The sequence below is a fragment of the Homo sapiens genome, chromosome 13 (assembly GCF_000001405.40).
Source record: "Homo sapiens chromosome 13, GRCh38.p14 Primary Assembly".
Taxonomy (NCBI): Eukaryota; Metazoa; Chordata; class Mammalia; order Primates; family Hominidae; genus Homo; species Homo sapiens.
In genome coordinates this window covers 32,503,959-32,528,558 of record NC_000013.11, presented here as the reverse complement: position 1 = coordinate 32,528,558, position 24,600 = coordinate 32,503,959, and the positions used below count along the sequence as shown (strand labels likewise).

At 36.1% G+C, this 24,600-nt stretch overlaps 1 protein-coding gene and 1 long non-coding RNA gene across 71 annotated transcripts in view; both read left to right on the top strand.

Annotated features, from left to right (window-relative positions):
- Positions 1–24,600, top strand: part of N4BP2L2 (NEDD4 binding protein 2 like 2) — a 106,384-nt gene that overhangs the window by 10,310 nt on the left and 71,474 nt on the right. For 13 of the 70 annotated variants that reach the window (NR_170548.1, NR_170556.1, NR_170554.1 and 10 more), the window contains 4 exons: positions 1,027–1,151; positions 6,289–6,377; positions 7,110–7,186; positions 10,556–18,267. The exons of 5 other annotated variants lie outside the window; for them this stretch is intronic. Coding sequence is in view for 40 of the 65 variants with exons in the window: in NM_001387080.1 (NP_001374009.1) it covers positions 1,027–1,151; positions 6,289–6,377; positions 7,110–7,186; positions 10,556–10,757 (493 nt within the window). In the remaining 25 variants the exon portion in view is untranslated. Of the gene's footprint in view, positions 1–1,026; positions 1,152–1,970; positions 2,021–5,476; positions 5,625–6,288; positions 6,378–7,109; positions 7,187–10,555; positions 24,281–24,600 lie in introns of those variants that run through there. 52 more of the 70 variants (NR_170379.1, NR_170382.1, NR_170383.1 and 49 more) reach the window with 19 other exon arrangements.
- Positions 19,164–24,053, top strand: N4BP2L2-IT2 (N4BPL2 intronic transcript 2). The gene has a single exon (NR_026928.1). It is a non-coding gene; the product is annotated as a N4BPL2 intronic transcript 2 (long non-coding RNA).

Genomic DNA, 24,600 nt, shown 5'->3' with positions numbered 1-24,600 from the left:
TTTCATGAGTCATTGGTAATGAGAGTTCTGAGTACTTGTTAATCTTGCTGTACTTGTCAATTTAAGGCAGTATCGTTTTCAAAACAAAGCTTGATTATCATTGACCTGAACTGAGAGTTTTTTATTTAGTGTTTAATAATTTCATTTAACGACTTAAGTTCTTAAAAATTTAAAGTTTGATTATACTTTGGAGGATCACAGATTGTTCCATAACCTTAAGCCTCCAACTATTTCCGACTTTCACTAGAGGATCATATATGCTTCATGGAAATGAGTTTATTAAAGCTGTCTAGAGTCACATATGGTTTTTTCTAAATGAATTGCTTGCTTAGGCTTACTTGCTTTTTAGGTTACCTGTTGCACTAGATTGAGGCAAATAAAAATATACTAAAGTGAAAACATGGATAATAGTTGATATAATTTTGAGATTGGGTAAATAATGTTTTAAAAAGTTGCAATACAAATGCTGCTTCAAAAAGTTTTTGTTATGGCCAGGCACGGTGGCTCATGCCTGTAATCCCAGCACTTTGGGAGGCCGAGGCAGGTGGATCAAGAGGTCAGGAGTTCAACACCAGCCTGACCAACATGGTGAAACCCTGTCTGTACTAAAAATGCAAAAATTAGCCAGGCATGGTGGCACATGCTTGTAATCCCAGCTACTCAGGAGGCTGAGGCAGGAGAATCACTTGAACCCGGGAGGCGGAGGTTGCAGTGAGCCAAGATCGTGCCACTGCACTCCAGCCTGGGCGACAGAGACCATCTAAAAAAAAAAAAAAAAAGAGTTTCTGTTAGCATCTGTAATTGTGTAGATTTAAGTGTAAAGTGATTTGAAATCTGAAATCTTTGTAAGATTATTCAGCTCTTGTGCTGGTCTGTTCGTGATATACTTTCAGGTAAGTATCAGAAATCCATTTAATAACCTTTCCTGTGTGATTTATTTCACTTGGTTATATTTATTTCTGATAGTTTATTTCTGATGGTTATAGATTTTGTAAATGGCACCTTTATGATTTCTTTTATTAACAGAATTCTGCTTGGTCAGAATCGTGATGGCATTGTGTTCAGCACTGATGACTATTTTCACCATCAAGATGGGTACAGGTATAATGTTAATCAACTTGGTGATGCCCATGACTGGAACCAGAACAGAGGTTTGTTTTGGGCTAAGTGTCCCAGGATAGAATATTTGGCTAGGAGTCAAAAGACCTAGATTTTATTTTCAGCTTAGGTTTTTACCAGCTGAATGACTGTAGGCAAGCCGTTTAAATAGCTTTGAGACCTAATTTCTCCATCTGTTAGAGGTGGTGATAATTATACTTGCCCTACCTGATCAGGGTTTTTGTGAAAAGCAGAGAATTTAGATAAAACGCTTTGTAAACTGTAAATAGTTTATCAGTATAAGCTGGTAAAATAATAGCAGCATGGGATATTTTAAGAGGCTTTATTTTATACTTGATGAGTAAATTCAGAGAACTTTGAATCTGTACCATTGTTATGTAGTCCCAAAGTTATTTCCCCGAGAATAATGCTAATGTTTTCCAAGGCTTAATATACTGGTTGTGAATATTAAAAGTTTTTCTCATTGATATTGCTCTACAAGAAACCTACTTAATACATTTTTTAGCGGACATGGGTCAATTTCTGTTTATCATTAATAGGGGTTCTTAACCTGGGCTACACTTTTGAATTTCTTGGGGACTTTAAAAAAAAGCAAAAAAAAAAAAAAAAAAAAAAAAAAAACAGACAAAAAGTGTGCCTGGCCTCAGCCTTAGATATTTTGGTTTCATTGATCTGGGGTGGGGCCTAAACATTGATACTTTTTGTTTTGAAATTTCTCCAGACGATTCTGATGTATAGTCAGAATTGAAAACTGTTGATCTGAACTATAAGTAAATACATATGCTATGTTATTTTAAAAGAATGGATTGATGATTAAACAAATAGCTTTTATTATGAAAAATTTTAAACAGATTAAAGAGACTGTAATGAACCTCATAGACCCATCACCCAGAATTATCAGGTATTGAGATTTTGGTATATGGGCTTTTATCTTTTTGTTTGTACCCCTTTCTCTTTTTAAAGCAAATTCTAGACATCATACTTTATACATTTCAAAATAACTTTTTTACTAATCACATCTTTCACTTCAGTGCCGTTATCACACATTTAAAAAAATGCCAGTTCCTTCAGATCATGTAACCCAGTGTGTAATTGAATCTCCTCTGTTGTTCGAAAAAATCTCTTCACAGTTATTTTGTTTGAATTGGGATCCAAACGAAGTCCTCAAAATGCATTTTGTTTTATTTAATTAAGTTAATCCATAGCATGTTCCTTCTTTTAACTCTCATACCATTAACTTGTTGCAGAAACTATGTTGTTTGTCCTGTAGAAAGTTCCACATGCTGTAGTTGTCTATTTGCTTCTTGGTGTTAACCGTTTAACTTGCTCCTCTTCTTTGTTTTCTGTGAATGGAAATTAGCTCTAGATTAGAGGCTTGATTAGGTTCAACATTTTTTTTTTTTTTTTTTTGGCAAGCAGATATTTGGTTGTCCTGTTCTTAGTAATGGTGAGCTTAATCAGTAGCTGCACAGGGACAACCTCTTCCCTCTGTCTGCTGTCAAGTTCCCTATTAACCTTATATCTGATGGTTTTATCCAATAATAAATTGTTTCCTGAGTCAGTTATTTCATTCAGAATTGCAAAGTGATGATTTTTAGTTTAGTTATTCCTTCCATGTTTAATGGAATTCTTCTGTAATGAAGAACTTCTCTCAAAGCTGCCAACTAGGGTTGCCCTAAAGTATAATATATACAAGAAAAATAGTAATGCTTTTCTTTTTAATTGTCAAATACAGTAAGGAATTTCAGTGAGGATGTTTGTGTGTGTTTTAGAGATGGGGTCTTGCTTTGTTGCCCAGGCTAGAGCGTAGTGACACAATCATAGCTCAGTGCAGCCTCGAATTCCTGGACTCAAGGGATCCTCCTGCCTCAGCCTCCTGAGTAACTAGGACTACAGGCAGGTAGCTGGGACTACATACGTGTACCAGCACACCCAGCTATTTTTTAAAAAAACTTTGTAGAATTTTGAATGAGCCACAGTGCCTGGCTGAGGATGGTTTCGAGTTAAAAGTTTTCACGCTGTTACAATTTATAGTTTCACAAGAATGTTTAAACATCAGATAAGTTTGATCATAAGACTGTTTCCTAGTATTTATTTTATAACGCTCTAGAATTTCTCCAAATATATTAGAGGGTGGCATAGCAGTCTAAAAAAATATTAATTTTTTTATTTTTTTAATGCCATAGAACATTTTTGCTCAAATCAAATAATGATGGTATTGCAATTCTGCAAATGTTTGGAGTTACTGGCCTAAAGGTAAGGGGAGCAAGATTAGTTGATAAGTTGAATGAATAGACAGGGCAGAGCCAGTATACCTTTGGTGAACTAGTAAGTTTATTTGCGTGGGACATTTTTTTTCTCTTTGCAGTACTGGCATAGCTGGGTGCAGTGGCTCATGCCTATAATCCCAGCACTTTGGGAGGCCGAGGCGGGCAGATCACTTGAGCCCAGGAGTTAGAGACCAGCCTGGGCAACATGATGAAACCCCATCTCTACAAAAAGTAGAAAAATTAGCCAGGTGTGGTGGTGCACACCTGTAGTCTAAGCTACTTGGGAGGCTGAGATAGGAGGATTGCTTGAGGCAGGGAGGTCAAGGCTGCAGTGAGCTGAGATCATGCTACTGCACTCCAGTCTGGGTGACAGGGCAAGATTCTGTCTCAACAAACAAACAAACAAACAAACTAGTACAGAATATTTCATTAAAATGTTTATGTCATTTGAATTATGTTAATTATACTTCCTAAATGGAATAATGGTATCTTATTATTAAACCAGAATAATAAATATGAACTTGAATATATTTAAATGCTAGGCACCATTCTATGAAAATCTGTCTGCTTCATGTTTATTATTGAAATAATCTAAATTAATTTTAGAACACTTAAAATCGAAAACATCTCCAAAGTGTAGTTCTTCTCTTTCTAACAGTATGATAGTTCATTTGTTTAAGAAAACTATTCCCATTATTTGGGTATTCAAACATGTTTTTACTTAGGAGCTCTTTTTGCATGGAATGTACTAGACTATGGTATTGGATGATAATGGAAAGAAGATAATCTCCCCATTCGTAAAATCAGAAATTTATTTGATCAATAAAACTTCTTTTCTGGAACACAACTCCTTGGATGTGTGAGCCTATCAGACATTAGGAGAATAATTTTAATAAGCTTTTGAATGGAAGATTTGATCACTATGATTAGAGACGGAGCAGTGGGAGATGATAGTGTCTTGGTGCTAGCACCAAGCTAGCACTAATAGATGATGGCACCTATTTATGACCCAAATTCTAAATTTCTTTTGGTATTTAGAGACATCTCCCAAATATGTATTTCCCCATAGTGATTATTCTAACTGACCTTTAGCATTCTGTCTGTCCTAGACATCTGTATAAATGTTTTCATTCTGTTGAACTTAGTGGTTTGAATTCTAACTCCTGAGAAAATTTCCACATCTTTGCATTTTGCTTCAGGCTTCTTTTCCCCATAGTGTAATGGGGAACAAGAGGTGTTTGGTTACATGAGTAGGTTCTTTAGTGGTTATTTGTAAGATTTTGGTGCACCCATCACCCAAGCAGTATACACTGCATCCTATTTGTAGTCTTTTATCCCTCACTCCCTTCCCACCCTTTCCCCCTGAGTCTCCAGAGTTGAGTCATTCTTATGCCTTTGGATCCTCATAGCTTAGCTCCCACTTATGAGTGAGAACATATGATGTTTGGTTTTGCGTCAGCCTTTTAATTTTTTTTTTTTTTTTTTTGAGACGGAGTCTTGCTCTGTCACCCAGGCTGGAGTGCAGTGGTGCGATCTTGGCTCACTGCAACCTCCGCCTCCCAGGTTTAAGCAGTTCTCTTGCTCAGCCTCCCAAGTAGCTGGGATTACAGGCGCCTGCCACCATGCCTAGCTAATTTTTGTATTTTGAGTAGAGATGGCTTTTCACCATCTTGGCCATGGTGGTCTTGAACTGCTGACCTTGTGATCCACCTGCCTTGGCCTCCCTAAGGACTAGGATTACAGGTGTGAACCACCATGCCTGGCCTTTTTTTTTTTTTTGAGACAGAGTCTCACTCTTTGCTCAGGCTGTAGTGCTGCGGCGTCATCTTGGCTCACAGCAACCTCCACTTCATAAGGTTCAAGTGATTCTCGTGCCTCAGCCTCCCAAGTAGCTGGGACTACAGGCGCATACCACCACACCTGGCTAATTTTTTTATTTTTAATAGAGATGAGGTTTTGCCATTTTGGCCAGGGTGGTCTTGAATTCCTGACCTCTGGTGATCCACCTGCTTTGGCCTCCCAAAGTGCTGGGATTATAGGTGTGAGCTACCACACCCAGCCTTGTGACAGTGATTCTTATCTCATAGTGCAAAAGATGGCATTTGGATGGGAGATAATAGTTCAGAAAAGTTCCATTCTACAGCAACTCACAATTTGAGGACCATAGTTCTAAGAAATATCCACAAAGTCAGTTGAACTATGATTTTTAGCTACTTGGCATATAAAGTTTTGCTGGTAAGTAATGACTTAAATCCATAACTTTTCAAAAACATAAGCCTTACTTCAAAAGCATTATTTGTACATTGTAGAAAATTAGAAAATACAGATAATCATCTGCGGTAACTTTCCCAAAAAAGAGAAAATACAGATAAAATATTAAATGAAAATATTCTTACCACCTACAGGCGACCAATTTTAATATCTCCATAAGTCTTCCCCAGCTCTATCTTTTGACTTAAATAGGATCATATTTAACTATTGTCTTGTAACTTGCCATTTTCATTTAATAACCTCCATCCTTCCGTGTCAAAATAATTTTTCACCTCTTCTCTTACTTAGTCTATATTCAGATGTAAATTGTTCATCTCTTATATTTCCCATAAGTGAAAGTTAGTCCTAGACTTGAAGCCTTTATTAGCTGTAAGTTCAGCAAAATGCCTTTCAGAGCCAGTTTGTCAAAGCCAGCATCCAGTCTGGAGAATGCACCTGGCATATGGTTGTGTCCTTTAATTCCCTTTCAATCTAGTGGAGTTCTTTTTTTCATGATACTGACTGAAGAGATTGCACAGTTTTGGTTTTAAGTACAGAGACGTAGTACATTTCTTAATAATAAATGTTTAACTTTTGTGTGTTTTAACCTAATTTGTTTTTTTATTTTTAAATTTATATTTTATTTCAGCAAAACAAGCTATCGATCAGGGAAGATCTCCAGTTATAATAGATAACACTAATATACAAGCTTGGGAAATGAAGCCATATGTGGAAGTGGTAAATATGAAACATGAGAAAGTTTTTATTTTTTATTCTTGTCAATTTTTTCACATTCTAAAATTTTGGCTGGTTGGATCTTGATTATTAAAACATTTGTCCTTTGTTTTCTAAAGAGGTTTGTTGGTTTGCTTAGTTTTTAAAAAAATTGTGAATGATGTTTTTTAAGGAACATGTTCATCTTGTTAATTTTTGTTTGTTTTTTTGAGACGGAGTCTCGCTCTGTCACCCAGGCTGGAGTGCAGTGGCACCATCTTGGCTCACTGCAAGCTCCGCCTCCCCAGTTGAAGCGATTCTCCTGCCTCAGCCACCTGAGTAGCTGAGATTATAGGTGCCTGCCCCCATGCCCAGCTAATTTTTGTATTTTTAGTAGAGACAGGGTTTCACCATGTTGGCCAGGCTGGTCTCGAACTCCTGAGCTCAGCCCATCTGCCGTGCTCAGCCTCCCAAAGTGCTGGGATTACAGGCATGAGCCACCACGCCCAGCCTCATATTGTTTTGACTTTCCTTAAGGATAGTAATCTTAAGGAATTACTATTCCTTGAGAATAGTAATCAAAATTTATCCGGTTAAATAGTCTTAACTGTTATAAACCATATTATTTTATAAAGCGTCATTTTTCTTGGTCGAGCAAGTGTATAGTATTGTCGAAATGAAATTTAACTGTCTGCCTTCTTTTTACTTTAAGAAGTACTTCTCTGGGTTTTTGTTTTCTTCCTTTCCTTTGTGTAGGCCATAGGAAAAGGATACAGAGTAGAGTTTCATGAACCTGAAACTTGGTGGAAATTTGATCCTGAAGAATTAGAAAAGTAAGACACTCGAATTTTTATTGAATCCTTAACTTTTCTTCTTTCTTTTGTGAATTCTGACATCCTTTCACAGTTTATTGAATACAAATGTAGGTTCAGGAAACTGAGGGTAAAATGTGAGGACCTTTTTTCTCTGGTTTTTGGCTAGGCCACTTCTCTGCATTGTCCTTCTGCCTTCATCTCCTTCTCATTTTAGGTCCCATCAACTTTTTACTTTGTGCTTTCATGTTGCTCCCACTTTTCTATCTTTTCAACTACAGGACCGTAGTATTATACCAAGATCCTTGGAATCAATGTGTTTTGGAATTTAGGTTTTAGCAATTTTTGAAAGGTAATATAGTGCATATACATCTAATCTTAACTCCCTTTTCAGAGTTTGGGGGAGCATGTTATAATCAAACATCTTAATATTTCTGCAGCAAATCATGACTAGTCAATTCAAGTAAATAACAAAGAATCTGCATAATGTAAAGTCAATTCTGAGTAAGTTGTTCTGCCAAATGAGTACAGATATGGGTAGAGTTTGCTGCCAAATGAGTCAGGGAGAACTGAGTTTTCGCAGCTTAACCAGATTTCAGTAATTGTGGTGAGAGATTGTGAACTTCTATTTTCAGTCCTAACTCTTCCATTTGTACCTATCTTTACCTTTTCCCTTCATATCACTGTGTTTCCTGACTGTTATTCCTTTTTTTTTTCCTTTACTTTTTTTTTTTTGAGATGGAGTCTCGCTCTGTTGCCCAGGCTGGAGTGCAGTGGTGCAATCTCAGCTCACTGCAAGCTCCGCCTCCCAGGTTCATGCCATTCTCCTGCCTCAGCCTCTCCAATGGGTGGGACTATAGGTGCTGGCCACCACTCCCGGCTAATTTTTTTGTATTTTTAGTAGAGACGGGGTTTCACCGTGTTAGCCAGGATGGTCTTGATTTCCTGACCTCGTGATCTGCCCACCTTGCTCGGCCTCCCAGAGTGCTGGGATTAAAGGCATGAGCCACCACGCCTGGCCTTTTTTTTTTTTTTTAACTTTTATCGTCTTCCTCGTCCCCACCTTCCCACCCGTTTTTAGGTAACAACTTTATTGCGATAAAATTCACGTACCCTTACAATTCACCTATTTAATTGCATACAATTCAGTGTTTTTCTGTATATTCACAGAGTTGTGCAACCTTCACTCCTCTTTTTTTAAACCAGTTTTTCCCCTTCTACCTCAGTTTGCTTCAAGCTGTTACTCTGTGTATGGGGTCCAACTAATTTACTTCCCTCTTGCCTTTCATTCCTTTGGCTACTTTCTTTTTCTGATTTGTATGCTGTGTGGTCATGTATAGATAGACAAACAGATTAGTATTAGTATCTGATATTTTTTGCCTGCCTAGCTGTGTGTGTGTATCATACCTGAGGTGGAAGAGACAGAAGCTTAAAAATTAAAAATATTTGAGTAATGCTGAATAAATGAATGATAAAATGCTATGCAGTTATGGCTTCATTACATTTTTGAGGAATTGTTAAAATTTATTATTTTCTTAATATAAATTTACCTTTATATAACAAAGCCAGTTTAACTGATACCTGGTGTAGCTTGATTTTTGAAAAGGATTGATTGAATCATAAATATTGGCATCTTGTGGATTTAGTCTTTTTTTTTAAATTAAAAAACATTTTTTGAGACAGGGTCTACTGCTGTCACCCAGGCTGGAGTGCAGTAGTGATCTTTTTTTATTTTTATTTTTTTCAGACAGAGTCTCATTTTGTTTCCCAGGCTGGAGTTCAGTGGGGCGATCTCAGCTTACTTCTGCCTCCCAGGTTCAAGCGATTCCCCTGCTTCAGCCTCCTGAGTAGCTGGGCATACAGGCACCTGCCACTACGCCTGGCTATTTTTTGTATTTTTAGTAGAGACGGAGTTTCACCATGTTGGTTAGGCTGGTCTTGAGCTCCTGACCTCAAGCAATCCACCCACCTTGGCCTCCCAAAAGTGCTGGGATTACAGGTGTGAGCCACTGCACCCGGCTTGCAGTGACGATCTTGGCTCACTGCAACCTCTTCCTCCTGGACTCAAGCGATCTACCCACCTTGGGAGTAACTGGGACTACAAGTGTGCACCACCACCATGCCCAGCTAATTTTTTTTTTTTTTTTTTGGTAGAGACGGTTTTGCCATATTGCCTACACTGGGCTCTTGAACTCCTGGGCCCAAGCATTCCGCTGGCCTCAGCACTGCACCCAGCCAGATTTAGTCATATCTTGCCAATTTTCAACTTCATCGCATTTTTTCTTCTATCTTTTTTGCTTTCTTTTCTTATCTTGAATGTAAACATCAGCATTGAAAAGTAAACATTTCTGGCCTTTTTCCAAGATAAATAAATTGGCATTTGTACATCTAGAATGATAAATGTAAAAATATGTTTCCTGTATGTTTTGTCATGTCCAGGTCAAGTTACAGAAAACTATGAGGGTAAAATAAGTTGTCAGGAGTTCTTTGAGGGTCCAGAATAAATTTTAAACCACTTTTTAGTGTCATATAACCTCACATACAGAAAAGTACATAAATATAAATATATAACTTAACAAAGTTCTTACAAGATCAACACACGTTTAGCTATCACCCATGTCATGGGAGCATTGCCAGCATCTCAGAAGCTCTTTGCATTCCTCTTCCCAGTCACAGTTACCTTTTATTCTCTAAAGGTAGCCATTGTTTTGCCTGGGTAATCATAATCTCTTTTTTTAAAGTTTTGCCATAATATCTTTGGCCTTAATATCATAGTTTGGGGGCAGGGGCAAGGTTAAAAAAATACCATAGTTTAGTTTTGCCTTTTATCAAAGCTTTATATTATGTATAATACATATATATATGGAATCCTACAGTTTATATACATTGTGTCTAATTTATTTCACTCAACATTATGTTTGTAAGAGATGTTCAAATTGTGTCTGTAATAATAATTTGGTGTTGCCCATTTTAAAATGTGATAGCAACTGTCATAAATAACTTCTAAAAAGTGATATTTTACTTCAATTTTTGCAAGTCCTAGAAGTCCACTCAATCTTTCTGTAATTCTTAAAACAGTATTTCATAATCTTTAATTTTGTTATTAACAAGGGGATATAGTCAGCAGGCTCAGTGAATAGGTAGTTCTATGTGAAAAGGATGTAATTAACATTTTTCTGTGATATATGGAATCTTTATACCTTTTTAAAATATTGATAAAAACATTTGAGTTTTTAATAAGTCTTTTTACATAAAATGTGGACAGATGAAATATATATTGTTTATTTACAAAATATTATTTAGAATTTGTGTGCTTTTTCTCTAAAACAGTTAATCTCTAAGCCTGTACATTCTGCAACAAAGATTTACAATCCTTTTCTTTTTTGTTAGGAGGAATAAACATGGTGTGTCTCGAAAGAAGATTGCTCAGATGTTGGATCGTTATGAATATCAAATGTCCATTTCTATTGTAATGAATTCAGTGGAACCATCACACAAAAGCACACAAAGACCTCCTCCTCCACAGGGGAGACAGAGGTGGGGAGGCTCTCTTGGCTCACATAATCGTGTCTGTGTCACAAATAATCATTAAATTAGCTATTTTCAGCTAACACATTTGTTGTTGCACTTGAAAAAGAGTTAGTGAGCCTGTCTTGGAGTTTAAGTAGTTTCAAATAAAAAAAGGCTACAGTGCCTCACAAAGGATGTTCCCAGCAAGTTGTTTAAATTCCCAGCAAGTTGTTAAAGTGTAAATAAAAATATATGAAATTGTATTTTAAATGTTTTTATATTCTCTTGTTGTAATACTCTTGGCTGTTATGGAAGCACCTGAGTAATAGAGTGGTGGGTAGGAGCTAGGATGTTTTTCTACAATCGAATTTTAAACTAATTTATCTATTTTATAGACACTATTGAACAGTTTTTTAATAGTTCATATCTAAATCTAACTTTTCATAAAACTTTACGGTTTTTCCTTCACTACCTTAAATATGCAAGAAATACTGACTTGGTATAGGGTACCTTAGTTTTCTCTATTCATTAGACAGGTAAAATTATATTTCAGCTGATTGATCTGTGTGACAAAATTATTTCTTAGCTATAATCAGCACATCACTTAGTTCAAACAAAATTCCCCAGCAAATGTTAGATAGTAGGTATATCAGTCACCTGGGGAGTTTTCTTCATAATATGCATATTCATCTTGTAATGCATACATAGTTATCATCCTCCTTCTCAACCCATCTCCCTAACCCCACATGCTTGCCAGTTCTTGAAGGGATAAAGTGATTCTAATAATGTTTTACTTCTCTCTGTTCAATTTAATGTGATATAATTCTAGTATAAAAATATTTTGGACAGTTGCTTAACATGGTCATAAGAGGATTTGTACTATAGAATATCTTCTAGTACTAATTTTTCTGTAGAGCAAATTATATTTCTCTCACTGGATAGTTTTTAGATGTGTTTCTTCATATAAAATTAAAAACTGAGATGGAATTCATTTCAGAGGTCTTGTCATTCATCCCCTGCCTTCAAACCAAGCTTTACCTAGACTAACCTAGATAATTAAGCATTTCTCTTTGCAACATGAGGAAAAAAACACTACTACTTCTCTTAATACCATTGTTACCAATGTCTTCTGAAGAATATTTCTTCAACAGTTTTGATTTACTTTTTTGATTTACTCTTTTTAGGGGAAAAAAAACCCAGCTAATTACAATGCTGTCTTAAAAATTAAGCATTATGATTCTTTATATGTTTTACATAATATTTTGTGGCCTTTAAGCTTTCTCCTAAACCAGCACATCTTGAATCCCATAGTATTTCTTTGTTTTAAAACCTTTTGCTATTCCTTTCAACTTTAGATATTCTCTCACATCTTTATATTACTTTTTAAGTTGTCAGGCCAAAAACTAGATTCACTGCTATCAACAAGGTCTTTGTTACATTGCCTTTAGTGAAATAAGAATATGATTTTATTTGTACTATTCAGTGCTGTTAACATTTGAATGAATATTACCTTTATCTTGTTTAATACGTGTGTTTGTATATATTTGTTCATCTTAACTACGATGTAAGAATATGCTAATTCATGTTTTGTGTGTAAATGTATATTGTATACATATACACATCTTCATCTATGTTTTCATATATTCTTTTATTTCAGAGTAATACTTGTTGGTGTTTGGACTTGTGTTTCTAAGTATTTTATTCTGTAGATTAGCGCAGTTTGAAAATTGTACAAAAGGATTTCATTTTGGGACAGGTGAAACAACTCTTAGGTAGACTATATGTCCCTTTCTTTCTGTCTGTCTTCATAAACTTAGGAGTAATAGTACTATAAATTTAGCTTTTTGGCCGGGCACGGTGGCTAACACCTGTAATCCCAGCACTTTGGGAGGCCGAGGTGGGCAGATCACCTGAGGTCAGGAGTTTGAGACCAGCCTGTCTGACACAGTGAAACCACATCTCTACTTAAAATACAAAAATCAGCTGGGTGTGGTGGTGTGTGCCTGTAATCCCAGCTACTTGGGAGGCTGAGGGGGGAGAATCGCTTGAACCTGGGAGGCAGAGTTTGCAGTAAGCAGAGATTGCGCCACTTGCACTCCAGCCTGTGAGACAGAGTGAGACTCCTTCTCAAAAAAAAAAATTAGTTTTTTTAAAATAACTTTTACATTTATTTTTGGAAAGTAGAGTATTACCTTTGGGAGAAACAGATTATGAGGAAATATGTTCATATTAAGTTTATTTTAATTTCCAGATTTTATTATAGACTTGTCTTCATCTCCTAGTTCTGACTACTAAATAATAATCAGTTAGAGATCATTCGTCATTACCAATTAATTTTTTACATTATAATGTTAGCCAACTACTGTTGCATCACAGAGTCCAAATAAATAAATAAATCTTACTGAGGCTGGAAAGCTAACATTCTTACTCAGAATTAAACAAACAAGGTCTTGTCCTGCTACGTGGGCTGGATGGAGTGTGGTGGCGTGATCATAGCTTGCTGAAACCTTGAACTCCTAGGCTCAAGAGGTCCTCCTTTCTCAGCATCCCAAGTAGCTGGGACTTCAAGCATGCACTGCCACACCTGGCTTATTTTGCATTAAAAAAATTTTTTTGTAGAGATGGGGTCTTGCCTTGTTTCCCAAACTGGTCTTGTACTCCTGGCCTCAAGTGATCCTCCCAAAGTGCTGAGATTACAGGCATGAGCCACTGCACCAGCTTTAGTGATTTTTTTTTTTTTTTTTGAGACAGAGTCTTTCTCTGGATCACCCAAGCTGGAGTACAGTGGCATGATGTCAGCTCACTGCAACCTCCACCTCCCAGGTTCAAGCGATTCTCCTGCCTCAGCCTCCCGAGTAGCTGGGATTAGAGGCACTCGCCACCATACCTGGATAATTTTTGTATTTTTAGTAGAGACAGTGTTTCACCATGTTGGCCAGGCAGGTCTCGAACTCCTGACCCCAGGTGATCCGCCTGCCTTGGCCTCCCAAAGTGCTGGGTGGGATTACAGGCATGAGCCACCACACCAGGCCTAGTTGGTTTTTTTAAAGTGGAAAAACAGTTGTTTTCCTAAACATTGTGGCTAATTTTAATTAAAAACAGAATGGAGGAATGAATATGCAGTGGAAATACTAAAATCACTGTTTAAAGTCATTGCTTGGTGTTTAAAAATCTATAAAAATGTGAAATTTACAATTTTTCATCAAAATTCTATTCAGACAGTCTTTTTTGGGGGTTGGGGTTAAGAGATGAGGTCTCTTTCTGTTGTATAGACTGGACTTGAACTGGTCTCAAGTGATCCTCCTGCCTCAGCCTACCTGGTAGCTGGGATTACAGGCACCCAGCCAGGTATAATGTTAGTGGAATAGACCCCTGCTGCTATGCCCTATTCTAACCATCTCCATCACAAATAATTAAAGTGGATATTAATCATATTTACCTAAGATGGAGTACATCTTAGTTAAGTAGAATACAACTTCTAGTTTGGTTCAGTAAGATTAAATTGTATTTATTTTTTTGTTTGTTCCATAGGTTTAGTGCAGAAGTTACTTTTTTGTGGTAAATGAATTTATGATTTTTTATGTTTCATAATTTTAGTGAAAATTCTTGTGTGGTAATTAATTTGAACTTTTGATACTGCTTTTTAACCAGGTAATCTTTATTTTCAGTATTTATCTTTGTAAAAGATAATGTTAGCTTTTTTATATTTTTGTCTGTTTTAAAAGTAAGATTATTTACAAAAGACTGAATTTTTTTAATTGTTGGAGTGGGTGATTTAAGTATTTGAACTTTGCTTATCTCTTGTCTAATTAATACAGATTCTGGAATTTTCCAGTTTTACGTATAGATAAGTTTTGAAAGTATGATTTAAGAGGATATGAAATGTTTGTATTGGCTATACTTGAATTTTTTTATTGCAAAAATGTCTGATTTTCTGAGACTGGTTTTCTAACTATTTATAAAGAAAATTGGTTGTGGTCTCTTTGGAAAATGTAGAAGAAATGTAGTTGTGTGTTCTAGTGCCTTGGCCAGATAGGCTTGCTAGTCTTTATTGAAGTTTAATGTATTCTGACATGAATACAATAACTAATAAGGGCTAAAGTTGTATTGTTGTTGCTTTTTTTTTCTTAACATTTGCAATCCACATTGAACAGTGTTTTATAACAAAATCTTAGCTTATGATTCAGAATAAATAATTCAGAACATTCAGAATAAATAATTTGGTGGCAGCAGCAGGAGTTAAGTTAGTGATTTTTTAGAGTTAAGTTTTAGGAGCTACAATTTATAAATTAAAAATTTTCCTATTAAAGTTACCAGCTGTGTCTTCGTGAATTTTCTGAGGAGAGATTGTATTAAGGGATTAATGAATGTTTGGTGATAAGACTGGCATACAAATCTTTATTTTTAAAAGGTATCATTAAAACAGTTGGCTTCCCTGTATGTATACTGTATTTCCTTCTTACACAGTCCTTAGGCTGGTAAGAAGTAGTAGTAAATTTCTTGAAATAGACCCTAAAAATATAGGGATTAGTGATTGTCTTATGTGTCATTTTGATTCCTTTTTTACTTTGCAAAGCAGTATTTAGATTGATTCAATTTAGTTGATTTAAATTGCCAAATATGTTAAGCCTAAGTTTTCACTTTTGCATGGTTTGTAAGTTTCAGAGCAAACCTTGAAAAGCTAATGATTATGATTATTGGCAACTAAGTTCAGAAAACATGTAAAAGAATGGCTACAATTTACTCTCAATAATTTAGACTACATTGAGTGGTGTAATTTTTGTAATAGAATATACATGTATGTAAGCAGTAATTTGGAAGATCTCCTACAGAAATTCTTTTTTTTTTTTTTGAGACGGAGTCTCGCTCTGTTGCCCAGGCTGGAGTCCAGTGGCGCGATCTTGGCTCACTGCAAGCTCTGCCTCCCGGGTTCACGCCATTCTCCTGCCTCAGCCTCCTGAGTAGCTGGGACTACAGGCGCCCGCCACCATGCCCGGGTAATTTTTTTGTGTTTTTAATAGAGACGGGGTTTCACCTTGTTAGCCAGGATGGTGTTGATCTCCTGACCTCGTGATCCACCCGCCTCGGCCTCCCAAAGTGCTGGGATTACTGGCATGAGCCACTGCGCCTGGCCAGAAATTCTTAATGTATTATCACTCTATGCACAAGAACAAGAAGAAGGAGTAGCACAAATAACTTTGGAAAGAGAGTCTCAACAGTAAATAGTTATTCTAGAAGCTAAGCTGTATGTATTGAAAAGTTTTGACTTTTTGTATATCCAATAGAAATTTATTTAATCATTCATAATCTCTTTTTCTTCCTTCTCCTTCTGACAAATTCTGTTCTCTGAAAAATAACCCTGTTACATTCCAGTTGTGGTAATTGTAATAATTACACATTATAATTCACTTCCCAGAATGGAATATGTTAACTTCAGTAAGTTCTCTTAAATTTCAGTGTGGAAAAAAATAGATGATTTTTCTGTAGGATGGACACAGGCACAGTCTGATCCCTAATCTCAAAACTAGACACAATTGCATTAGCAATTGGTGAGTAACTGAAGACTTCACATTGAAGTCTTGGTTTGGTTTTTAATATTTCCATTTCCTTTTTTTTTGTAATTGAACTACTTTTTGTAAATTAATGGGAAGATTGAAATACTTTGAGAGGAGCTATTGGGTTTGCCTCTCAGTTTTGCTAGTAACTAAGGGAAAAAGAATAATGTGGTTTTTCATGGTTGAAATTGTGTTTTAGTAGAGTCCATTGAAATATACTTTATTATTTGGATTATTTTCTTATTTTCCAGTTTTAACTGTTTTCAGATGGTACATGTAAAGTTAAAGTTTTATTCTTGGTGTTAATTTTCAGTTGGTAATTATAATAATTATACAGCTTTCAGAATATCTCTTCATTCTGAAAGAAATTCTGAAGAGTAATTCTGAACTCTTCAGTTTTTTAGTGTAACAAAATGAAAGAAAATTTACTCAGGAAGGGATTGTGGGTTCTTTGTTTTCCTTTTTTTTTCTTCCGTTTTTCTTAATCTTAGAAATCATATTTCTTTTTCTTTCATAGTCTTTTCTTGTGTACGTGTTTTCTTTCACTCTATTCATTTTTTGCTCAGCTATCCTCCTGTAACCTCATAACATTCTTAATGAAGATGATGGGATGGTAAGTGTCTGGCAAAGCGGGAGATAATATCTTTTTCCCTCCTGTATTCTACTGAACTCATTGTTCCTTCTCAGCCTTACTTAATCAAGTTAAACTTATACACCACAGCTCTGCATTTAGTTTCCTGACCCTGTGGGTTAGGTAGAATTTAGATACGAAAATGGCTGGAAAGATTTATAAAAATCTATTATGTTAATCATTGGTGGGGAATCCATAACATGGCATAGAACTTGAATGTATGGATTTGAGAAAAAATATTTACATTAACTTAATTATATGATGATGGATGCTAATTGATAAGCAGTAGGTTGAAATTCACTGTTACATAATTCACTATTATGTCATGGTTGCTGGTTGCCCTTAACTGAATGATTTTGAAGGAAAGCTGATAACTATTTTGAGTTAAATTTTTACAAGTGGTTCCTTATATGGTGCAATGCCGCTGCAACAAACAGTAGGAATTTTGTAGCAAAAAGTCTTAATAGTATCCATTTAAATAACTGCTGCTTATTTAATGCCCATCAGTGCTAGGCCCCCATCTAAATGTGATTGTTACAGTCATTAATTTTCACAATTCTACAATGGCTTTAGAAAGAGGAAACAAAAATTTAGGTTAAACGACTTACCTAACATGATTTCTCTAGTAAGAGATAAAACTGTGATTCAAATCTATGTTAGACATGTATCTACTGTAACCCTGTATTATTTTTTTTTAACCACATAGTTATCTTTTTTTTTTTTAATTTGGTGTTTTTCCAAGGTTAAAAAGAAATTCCAGTGAAGAGTTGATTCCATCTTTATGGTATCTTTATTTTTTAAGGTTATAAGGTATGTTGATTTATCAGGAAAGTTAAATGAAGAAATCTTCAAGAGGCCATTTATAATTCTGTTTTTAAAAGTCAAAATTGAAAAGAGTTGGGCCAGGTGCAGTGGCTCACGCCTGTAATCCCAGCATTTTCGGAGGCCGGGTGGGTAGATCACCTGAGGTGAGGCGTTGGAGACCAGCCTGGCCAACGTGGTGAAACCCTGTCTTTACTAAAGATACAAAAATTAGCTGGGCGTGGTGGCATGTGCCTGTAATCCTAGCTACTCAGGAGGCTGAGGTAGGAGAATCGCTTGAACCTGGGTGGCAGAGGTTGCAGTGAGCCAAGATGGTGCCATGCACTCCAGCCTGAGCAACAGAGTGAGACTCCATCTCAAAAAAAAAAAAAAAAAAAATTGATAGAGTTTATACTATTTAATGTTTAAATGTTTTCTGTAAATTAAACATCAATAGACTTGATAATCATATTTTAGGAACATTTTTTTCCATTGAATTATTTACATATACTGTTGTACTGTAAGGCTTTAAATTAATTTTAATATTTTATTATTTTAATTAGCATTTGAAATGTATAGTGTTCAATAAATGGATTGCTAAATTATGTTAAGTTGGATTTTTTTAACCCTAATTAATTTTCAGGCAGTATTTCCTAAAATAAGTCAATACTACTTGTAAGTGGTTTTACTTACTTTTCTTTTATGTCCACTTGTTACGTAAGTATGTTAGTAGTAGACATCATGGAAATTACATAAATTTTCCGAATATTTGAAGAATTAAAGGAGCTTTTTCTCTATAATAGGAACTTTTTATTCTTTTATGGAATTTTAAATTAATTTTCTGAAAGAACAGTAAAAGAGACAGTTACTTAAGTTTGCTTTGTAAATAACTTAAATTTTACAAGGAAAATCTTGAAGTACAGAATTCTTACTGTTGGGTATTTGCTTTATTTTGTTTTAGTCAACTTAAAAAAATTGAAGAACTGGGTCTTGTTTGGTTTCTCTTAATTCCTTAAGAGTAGTTTGTGTTTTTTCTTCATTGTTCTAAATGTTAGAGTTGGAGTTTTTGTTTAGAATAGAAAAGTTGGAATTTTTGTTTAGAAAAGAAATGTCATTGGTTTTATGAATAGATTAAGATAGTTTTCAATTCAGGAAACTGGTAAGCAGTACATAAGGGTATTGAGATTATAGGAATATAGTTCAATGTAACCCTTGGCAGAGATGCAGTTAAGACATTTATCTAGAATATAAGTAAATTGAAGTATTTATAGGAAATGTGATAAGAGTAATGGGCTAGACATTTTGAAAATTAAAACCAGGGATCTTGTTATCTTTGGATCACTACTGTGTCCTAGGAGCTTTATTCTTTACTAAGAATCAGTAACTGTTTTATTCGATATTAGGCACAGTCTTCTCCCTAAAACAGTCAACAAACTTTTGATACGAAGGAAGCAGTAATCAAAGAAGAGCAACGTTACAGGGCAGTTTGTAATAAAAGTTGAGTACCCCTATCTGAAATGCTTGAGACCAGAAGTGTTTTGGAGTTCAGATTTTCTTTTGGATTTTGGAATATTTGCAGAATACCTACTGATTGAGCATATCTAACCTGGAAATCCAAAGTGCTCCGGTGAACATTTTCTTTGAGCATCATGTCAATCAATGCTCAAAAAGTTCAGGATTTTGGAGCTTCTTGGATTATGGGTGCTCAACCTGTATAGGAAACGTGGAGATGGAGCATGAATCAGTTGTATTTGATACTTGCTGGGGAAAGGATTTCCAGACCACCAGAGAAGAAGGATCACCCATTTAACTTGGTGTATCCAGTGCCATATCAGAGCCTTTTCTTCCATTTTAACCTCACCAGTAGTCTTTAGATTTGTGGTTTATGATCAAGAAATTAAATCCTAGAATACAGATTAGTAGAGCAAAGTTGAGGCTTTTGATTATCTATTTCTTTTAAGGTTTTTCGCTTTAACACTTTACAGAAGAATTTCTAGACTGTCTGAGAAGAATACTCCAGGTATTTGTCCCAGTCTTAAAATGGTTCAACAAAAAGTTCATAATCACTTTTTAGAACCCTTTTCCCAAAGAACTGTGATCCTACGTGTAACTTAAAAAAAGAAAACACACAAATGCTTGCATCTTTTTTCACATATTTATCTGTATTCAGCAATCAAGAATAGCTGGTACTGATGGATATCTTTACATGATTTTTCGTTATTTATCTGAAAATAATATATATTGGGTCATTATTTGGCTTTTCAACCTCAGTAATTCAGTAACTTTCTTTCAGTTAATTTTGTTGACCTGTTTTGGACACTTTTCAAAATATTCTTAGCATGATTTTACTGGGAAGAACACATTATTACAAGAGTTAGGCAGTCTGAGTTCCACCTCCATTTGTGTCCATCCTCTCTCGTTTGTTTATTGAATGCCTTCACCTGTGCTCTGAATTGCATCTCTTTCCTTCTCAGGAAATTTTATACATTGTCAATTATTCCTTCTCTCTAACTTCAACCTCGCCTTCTTTGCTGAGTCTGACCCATCAACAGTTAAACATGATCAAGTCTTCCGATTTAAAAGTCCCTCTTTCTTGACACAGCTCATTTATAGCCAAACTTCTTTCTGAAGAGTAGTCTACATTCATTTTCTTTTTCTCCCTCACTTCTGATAATATTGAACCAACTCCATTTTAGTTTCTGTCCCTATCATTCCTCTAAATTGATTAAGGTCTCCAGAATATTCCTCTGTATTTACGGGCATTATTCACTGCTCTTCTTATTTGACTACTCAGCAAGCATTTAACTTTTGATCAGTTTTTCCTTAAAATACTTTACTTGGCTTCCTTGACATCATGGTTTTTGTTCAGATCTCTGTGGTTATTTCTGTCTCCTTTGCTGCCTTCTCCTCTTGGTCCTTGAATTTTAGAATTCTTCAAATTTCAGTTCTAGACAATCTTCTGTTCTTACTCTTAGCTTTCCCTATGTGGTCTCATCATTTCTCATGTGGACATAGTAGTCTCCCCACTTTTATTTTTGCCACCTTACAATTTTATCCACAGAGCAGCTAGAGTAGTCTATAAATTCTTTTTAAAATACGTAAAATCACTCACTGCTTAGACACTACATAATCTAGTCCTTGGCTGCTTCTCTGACCCTGTCTTATACCAGTCTGCATTTACTACAGTCCATCTATACTGGCCTCTTTGAACTGTTCTTCAGATATGATAAGCTTGTCCTTGCTAAAAGCTCTAACTGTTATTTCTGCTTGGAATGCTCTTCTCGTCTACTCTTCCTATGCCTAGCATTTTCTTAATGTTTAGGTCTCACCTGAGATGTCACTTTCACTGTAGTACTAGTAGTTGATGTTACTACTGATTCGTTGGCAGTATTCCTGAAATAGAATATAGGATAAATGAGGACATGTTTATTTTGTTCACAGCTGTGTCCACAAAATCTAAACAGTGCCTGTAGTACTGTAGGAGCTCATTAAGTAGTCGGCTGATTGATTTTTGTACCTAATGGTTCTATTAACAATATTGACCCCCAAATGTATTTTCTTCATAACCTTCTCCTCTGAACTCCAGTCTGTATATTTAACTGTCTACCTGACATTTCCACTTCTAAGCTTAAAAGCTCCTCCAATTGAACCTGTGATCTCTTTAAATCTGGGACTCCAGGATTTCCTGCCACAGTGAATGGATTTACCTTTTATCTATCTCTGTAAGCTAGAAAGTTGAGAGTCTTCTTCAATGCCTTCTTTCCCCCTCATATTCAATCCATCAAATGGATTCTATGGACTTTGCCACCTGAATATCTCTTGAATCTGTTCCTACATTTTAAACTACCATCATTTGATGGATTTTCACACAGTGAGTGTATCTATATAATTAATACCCAGGTCAGGAAATACGATATTACTAGCACCTTAGAAGCTCCTTGTGCCCTCTCTCTGTCAGAGTGATCTTTTTAAAGGGAAAATGTGATCATGCTTAATGCCTTTCAGTTGCTTCCCATTGCTCTTAGAATAAAGACCAGAAATCATAATGTGATATTTAAGATCCTGGATGATGTTACTGTTTTTCCTATGCAACTTCATGTTTTTTAAATTATTTTTCTCACTTTCTGTATTCCAGCCCTGATAACCACCTCTCAATTCCTTGAATGTGGTATGCTGTTCCCTCTTGCTAAAAAATTCTATGTACACATACCCCTTCCGTTCTTGTCCTTCAGATTTGAGCTCTTCAAAGTTTTCTTGGACATAGCAAGCTTGATGAGGTCCCAAATACATCTTATGTGCTCTCATATGCTTTATTCATTTGTATATTATTATTTCCCTTATTTTTAAGCTAATGAGTCAGGTATTACACCTGTTTTGCTCACTGTTGCTTGGTCATCAGCTAGCATGGTGGCTGGGAAAGATTAGTATTCAATATTCATACAATAAGTGAATATGAGTAGTTTGGGTTTGTTATGGGATGAATTATCCATCCCCACCCCCCACTCCCACACACAGACACCCAACTGATACACTGAAGATTGAAATTCTAACTGTAGAACCTAGAATGTAACTGTATTTGGAGATGGGGCCTTTAAAAAGGTAATGAAGATAAAATGAAGTCATATGGGTGGACTCCAATTCCATATGAGTGGTTTCCATTAAGAAGAGATTAGGACACAGACACACAGAAAGGTAAGACCATGTGAAGACACTGGAGGAAGATGGCCATCTACAAGCCAAAGAGATCTACAGGCTTTAGAAGAAACCAACACTGCTGACACCTTGATCTTGGACTTCTAGAAGTGTGAGAAAATAAATTTCTGTTCTTTAAACTACCCAATCTGTGATACTTTGCTATGGAAGCCCTAGTAAACTTATATGGATTTTGGTATTGGGAAAGTGGGGTGCTGGTGTAATTAATACCTAAAAATGTGGAATTGGCTTTAGAACTAGATAATGGGTAGAGGCCAGAAGAAGTATTTGTTAGAAAAAGCATAGACTGCCTTGAAGAGATTGTTGGTAGACATATGGATGTTGAAGGTGATTCTGGTGAAGCTTAGAAAATAGGAGAGCTGTTGAGAAAGCTTCTGTCATCTTAGAGGTATACATATGTCACCTTGAATAAATATTGGTAGAAATATGAATGTTAAAGGTGTTTCTGGTAGGAACTCAAACAAATGAGGAATATATTGTTGGAAACTGAGGGAAAGGCAATGCTTATTATAATGTGGCAAATAGCCAAATTGTGTTTTGTGGAAAGTGGATGAACTTACAAAGTGATGAACTTGAATGTTTAGCTGAGATTTCTAAGCAATGCATTAAAGATATGGCCTGGTTTCTTCTTGCTGCTTAAAGTAAGATGCAAGAGGAGAGAGAGAAATTTAAGAAGGAATTATTAAGCCAAAAGCAACCAGAGCCTGAAGATTCGGAAAATTCTCAGTCTATCCATATTGCAAAAATTTAGCATGTTCTGGAGGGAACATCAAAGTTGTTGCAAGACAACCATTTCCTAAAGCAATTAGGGATATGTGACTTGTGGATCCAATCAGCCATCTTGGCAGCAACTAGCAGAAGCCAGGATAGAGATGGGGTTATACCTATGGAAATGCTGCTGGCTGGTACCGAAGGGAACAGAGGGATAAAAATGAAGGAAGTCTGTTGGATTTCTTGAGATTCTATAAAATGGGTCAGTAGAGCTATCTGGCTGTGAACATGTGTTCTTCAAGAAGAGGGAAGAATGACCCTGAAGATGATTGAGAAGGCAAAGGGGCTACTATTGCTACCACAGGACCAGAGGGCTCAGGCCTGAGGAGTCAAGGTAGGCTACTTCTTAGGGCTGAGGGAGGTGGGCTACCACACTGGTGGGCTCAGAAGACAGGGCTGCCACCCCTGTTAGGTGGGAAGATGGAGAATGAAGCTGAAGAAGATTATTCTTGAGCCTTAAAATCTAATGGGATTTGCCTTTATACGTTTCAGACCTGCTTAGGATCCATCACCCCTTCTTTCTGATTTTTTTGGAATAGGAATGTTTATCCTATGCCTGTCTCACCAGTGGTGTATTTTGGAAGCAAATAACTTGTCTAGTTTCACAGGTTCATGCTGGAGAAGAATTTTGCCTCAGGGTGAAACCTTGAGTATGCCTGTACCTGATCTAAATGATATTTAGATGAGATTTGGGGCTTAGAGTTGATACTGAAATGGGTCAAGACTTTGGGGCTGTTGGGATGGAGTGGATGTGTTTTGTGTCTGAGAAGGACATGAATTTTGAGGGGCCAGATGGCAGAATTTTAGAGGTTGAATTGTATGCTCTCCAAATGTATATAAGTTAAAGTCCTAACTCCTAGTACCTAGAATGTGACCATATTTGGAGATGGGGCCTTTAAAAAGGTAATTAAGATAAAATGACGTTATACATATGAGCCCTAATCCAATATGAATGGTGTCTTTGTAAGAGGTTAGGACAAACACAAAGGGAAGATCATGTGATGACACTGGAGAAAGAAGGCCATCTACAAACTGAGGAGGGAGGCCTGAGAAGAGATAAACCCTGTGGACATCTTAATCTTGGACATCTAGCCTTCAGAAGTGTGGGAAAATAAATTTCTATTGTTTAAGCCACCTAGTCTTTGGTACTTTGTTGTGGGAACCCTAGCAAATAAATACGCAGCTCTTAACACTGGTTAGTTGAGAAGCACTTTGGAGACATTTCCTTCTTTTCTGCAGTTCCTTTGTGTGTAAAGTTAGGGCATTTGCCTTAATCAGTGGTTCTTTTAAGTTTTAGGTCCTAATTCATCTGTTATATGTTGTTTCGAAAAATTTTTGGAGTTTTACATACATCAGGGGACCCCAGGTTCAGAATTCTTAGACAAGACTCTTTTTTATTTATTTATTTTTTAAGAGAGTCTTTTTCTTTCACCCAGGCTGCCAGGCTAGAGTGC